The 4,491-nt window shown below is 46.9% G+C and overlaps 2 annotated features.

Moving 5' to 3' along the window:
• Window positions 495–996: an enhancer, noted in NCBI's record as "H3K4me1 hESC enhancer chr4:55405507-55406008 (GRCh37/hg19 assembly coordinates)". NCBI's record gives its function as "activates a minimal SCP1, AML or CMV promoter by ChIP-STARR-seq in naive H9 embryonic stem cells {active_cell/tissue: H9 hESC(naive)}" and the evidence as "EXISTENCE:reporter gene assay evidence [ECO:0000049][PMID:30033119]".
• Window positions 3,642–4,253: a transcriptional cis regulatory region, noted in NCBI's record as "candidate enhancer chr4.1578 targeted for multiplex CRISPR interference". NCBI's record gives its function as "positively regulates KIT gene expression with high confidence in K562 cells {active_cell/tissue: K562}" and the evidence as "EXISTENCE:mutant phenotype evidence [ECO:0000015][PMID:30612741]".

Genomic DNA, 4,491 nt, shown 5'->3' on the forward strand with positions numbered 1-4,491 from the left:
CAGCCTCCTCAGTAGCTGGGATTAAAGGCACTGGCCAACACCCCTGGCTAATTTTTGTATTTTTAATAGAGACAGGGTTTCACCATGTTGGCCAGACTGGTCTCGAACTCCTGGCCTCAAGTGATCCTCCTGCCTCCCATAGTGCTGAGATTACAGGCATAAGCCACCACGCCTGGCCAAGATTCTACATTTCTAACAAGCTCCCAGATAATGGATGATTCCTATGCTGCAGGTCCAGGGACTACACTTTGATTAGCTGAGGCCTTAGAGAAGGAGAATACAGATATGTGTCACTGACTTAAGAGTCAAAATTATATATCATCATCACCACCTGACCACTAACACCTTGTTGTGCTAAATGCTTTGAACACTTTTTCTCACTTGATTTTTAAAGAGCCCTCAAAATAGCTATTATAGCCATGCCCCATTTACAGAAGGAAGAAGTGAGACCAGGGATCCTTAGTGACCAGCTAGCATGTGGTAAAGCCAGCACTGCAACACAAGTCCATCAGAGTCCTGGTCCTGGGTTCTTCACCACTTCACAGGAGAGAGAGCATAGCTTTGAAGCAGTCTCTTCTGTGATTATGTCTTCTTGGAGGGACCTCGGCTGGGCCCCAGCTTGCTAAGAAGAGAAAGCCACTGGAGTCTTTGTGTCGTCTCTAGACAGGGAGATGATGACGGTTCGCGGAATAGCTAATAGTGGATCAGCCGCTTGTGCTTAGCTGCTTCCCTGGTGCTTCGGGCAGCATCTTCCAGCTAAAGGAAGGGCTCCACGCTGAGCCATCCAGAGGATTCCTGGCTGCAAGTCCCTGGCCGGCAGGGCGGCCACTGAGCGGTCATCAAGGGCGCAGCGCTGAGCCCTGGCATGGAAACGCCGCCTCCGCCACGCCCACGTCCCCAGGCTCAGCTGCATGCTCATTGCACAGGGTCGCTGCACTGAGCTCAGCTGAGAGATTGCTTAGCTCAGCTTTGAAATCCAACCTAAATTCACCCCCTGGGCCTGCAGACACTCTGGCCAGATGCTCTTCCCCAACCAGAGCTGGGTAATAGAAGGTGACAGGCTGAACGCGGGGACTTGGGGGCGTGGCTGAGCGGCTGACAGCTAAGAGCTCTTCTCCCCAAACGCTGGACGCTGAAGGCTGAAGGCTGGAGCTGCGTTCCTGCGCTTTTTGAGGTGCACAGCTGCAGGATGGGGGTTCAGATATGCACCCAGGGGGATCAGGAATTTCATCTCTTTTTCTGGCCTAAATGTTCCAGTGTCTTCACATGCGGGGAGTTTATTTGCCGTAGGTAGCTCCTACTCCCTTGAGGAGGGAAAGGATCCCACCCGCATCTTCAGAGTCCACTGCCACAAACCCTGACAGAGTTATGGCTAATTTCTTAAGGTGGAAACAAATTGAGGTAATACTGGTGACTAAATGAATAAATAAAAATACACATTTCCGGCCGGGCGCGGTGGCTCACGCCTGTAATCCCAGCACTTTGGGAGGCCGAGGCGGGCGGATCACGAGGTCAGGAGATCGAGACCATCCCGGCTAAAACGGTGAAACCCCGTCTCTACTAAAAATACAAAAAATTAGCCGGGCGTAGTGGCGGGCGCCTGTAGTCCCAGCTACTTGGGAGGCTGAGGCAGGAGAATGGCGTGAACCCGGGAGGCGGAGCTTGCAGTGAGCCGAGATCCCGCCACTGCACTCCAGCCTGGGCGACAGAGCGAGACTCCGTCTCAAAAAAAAAAAAAAAAAAATACACATTTCCTAGACAAAATGTTTTCCATTTAGCCCCTACCCCATCCCCAATCCATATAGCACCTTGTGAAAATTAGCAAAAGTGTCCGTTTTGGGACCAGGCAGCAAATGGGGAAAGGACAGCCAAGTGGGAGGACACAAATAGTCATAGGGCTCCTGGCTTGGTGAGTAGAGCGTGGCCTAGCTTTCAGCACTAGTTTGCCCCCTCAGATGGTGCCCTTGTGCAGTGAGCAACAGCTACAACCATACCAGGTGACTGATCTTCCTTTCCTCCTTCCTTCCTTTTCGTCAATTGCTTATTGAATACTTCCTCTGTGTTTCCTGTTCCCTGACCCTCCCCTTCACACCTCCCCACTGTGTAGGTAAGGAAAACCTAAAGATAAATAGGACATAAAGAGGCTTATGGTACAATGGGGGAGGTGGACATGTAAACAGATAAACCATTAGGATTTCTGATATCTAAGACTGCACAATTTATACATGTCTAAAATTAGGGAACCTGGCTGATTCATACGATTCATACCAGGAATAAGAGCCTGGGAACTTACTTCCTTAAAGACCAGTGCCCAGTGGGGGATGCTTAGAAGTGTCACTGTACAACATTTGCTGTCCAGAATCCTGACTTTTCAGAAAGAGACATGGACAATATTAACAGGGAAGAGGCCTTTGCTCTTCAAGCACCTTGATGGGTTTGCAACGGCACCTTTGAGAGGAGGCTGTATTTGTCTGCTTTATTTAAAGGGGGAAGTTTGAAGTAGAGGTGGTGGGGGCACTGGAGTAGGAAAGGAGTAAGAATGGCAGGATCCTGCATGGACAAAAGGCTGGAGAAAAATCTCCATGGAGGATGAATTTGTAAGTTATATCTGCTATGAGCAGTGCTGTTAAAATATTTACTCCGTAACACTCCCCACCCCCCAGATCCACTCATTATCTCGAACTGCCTGGGGTAAAAGGAGGAGATCAAGGAAGAATCTGGATCCTTTAAAAATGTCATGGGTCAAAACCGTAGGAGCTAGAGGCAAAGAAAACCATGAGAATATAAATCCATGACTATTCACACAACTACTGGGGAAGTCTTTGGATATTTTTCAGGCCACGGAATTAAGGATTCAGGGGAATTTCAGGCAGCTCCCAAGGAGTAGGGAGGCCCCAGATGCTATCTACATTGGAGCAATAATATCCGTGAAATTGTTGGTCATATTTTCAACTCAGGGTCCTGGTCCTGTTCAAATGCTTACAGCAGCAAGGGAGATAAAGGAGTAAAGCAGGCTGGATGTGAGACAGCAGGGAGTGGTAGGCGCTGCAGCAAGCTGTAGGGTGCAAGTCCTATCGGAAGGAGACAATTGCCTCCCAGCTCCAGCGGAGTGTTGCCTTGCAAGAATGCAAGCCCAGTGTTGCCAGATAGTCCACATTTTAAGAGAAGCCAGAAATGCAAATGTTTCAGAAAAACCTCGTTTTTGAAAAATGTTAACTAATTCAGAAAATATTTTCAAACTTCAAGGGTCAAACAAAAGATGTCTCGTGATGTATGTGGTTTCTAATTTAGAAGACAGAACAAATACAGGGATAAGATTCATTTTCAAAACAAGTAAAGAAATGAATGGCATTTAAGTGAGATATGATAGGAAAAGCTCTGATTCATGCATCTTAAATCCAGGGCTTTCGGCTCTGCTTGACTACTATTTGTCTGTATGTTTACAATGAAATAATTTATAATGTCGTGGCCTTCATCTCTTTATCCATAAAATGAAGGCATTAAATCTGACACTTTTTTTAGACTTGGAGATGTGATGATTGAGGGGGCAGAAAGAAAGTGTAAGCAGTGGAAAAATGAGCCCTGGGTGTGTTTCAAAATGTGTTGAATTCATTGACATTTATTATGTGTCTGCAAGGTACATTGCCTTGATCATGGAATTCTTGCTTACTGTGAAAAAGTAAGCATAAACTCAAAAAGCACCTTAATTATTTTGCCTACCTGAGAACAATGCTTTCAAAGAAGTGGGAGAAGAGCCTCCCCCAACTGGAAGCTGTGTTACTGACACTATCAGCAGGTGAGTTACAGAGTCTGTCAGCAACGATAAGAGCACTGGCGTATTTCCTATTCAGACTGACGCTGCACTGAGACAGGAACCTAACTGATGTTTGTTCAATAATACCAAGATATGTCACAGAATCTGTGGGGGTGTCCGGTATCTTTTGTCAGCTTAGACTCAAACCCTGGAGAAAATATGTTGCAGACTGTTGCAGATGTTCTGAGATTAAATGATGTTTTCCTGAAAATGCATGAGGCATGGTCTACCGGTTTGCCTATTGGCAAACCGCCTCTTGCTGCCATCAAGACCCCACCCCCTCCCCCAGGCCATTCTGAAAAAGCAGAGCTGCCTCTAGGCCTTTCAGCTTTACCCTGAACCTCAAGACACTCCCACATTCTTCAGGGATTTGGGGATGGGTGGGTGGGTCTTATGATCCCAAAAGGATGGGATAGGGGAGAAGTGGGGTGGGTGGGAGGATGAGAGGTAGATGCAAAAAGATGGGTGGGGAAGAGAGGACCTAAACACAGTGCTGAGATCGAGTAATTTTAGGAGGCAGTACTGTTTGTGGAACATTTCATTCTTTATAGCTACTGTCACATTCTAGTCATTAGACTGCATTTACTTGTGGGTTGTAGAAATTACTTCCCATGGGAAACTAAAGCAATTCCTTCTTCAAAGGATGCTTTGTTTTCTAAGAGAAGAAAGTAAAGCCT

This window comes from Homo sapiens, chromosome 4 (genome assembly GCF_000001405.40).
Source record: "Homo sapiens chromosome 4, GRCh38.p14 Primary Assembly".
NCBI lineage: Eukaryota > Metazoa > Chordata > Mammalia > Primates > Hominidae > Homo > Homo sapiens.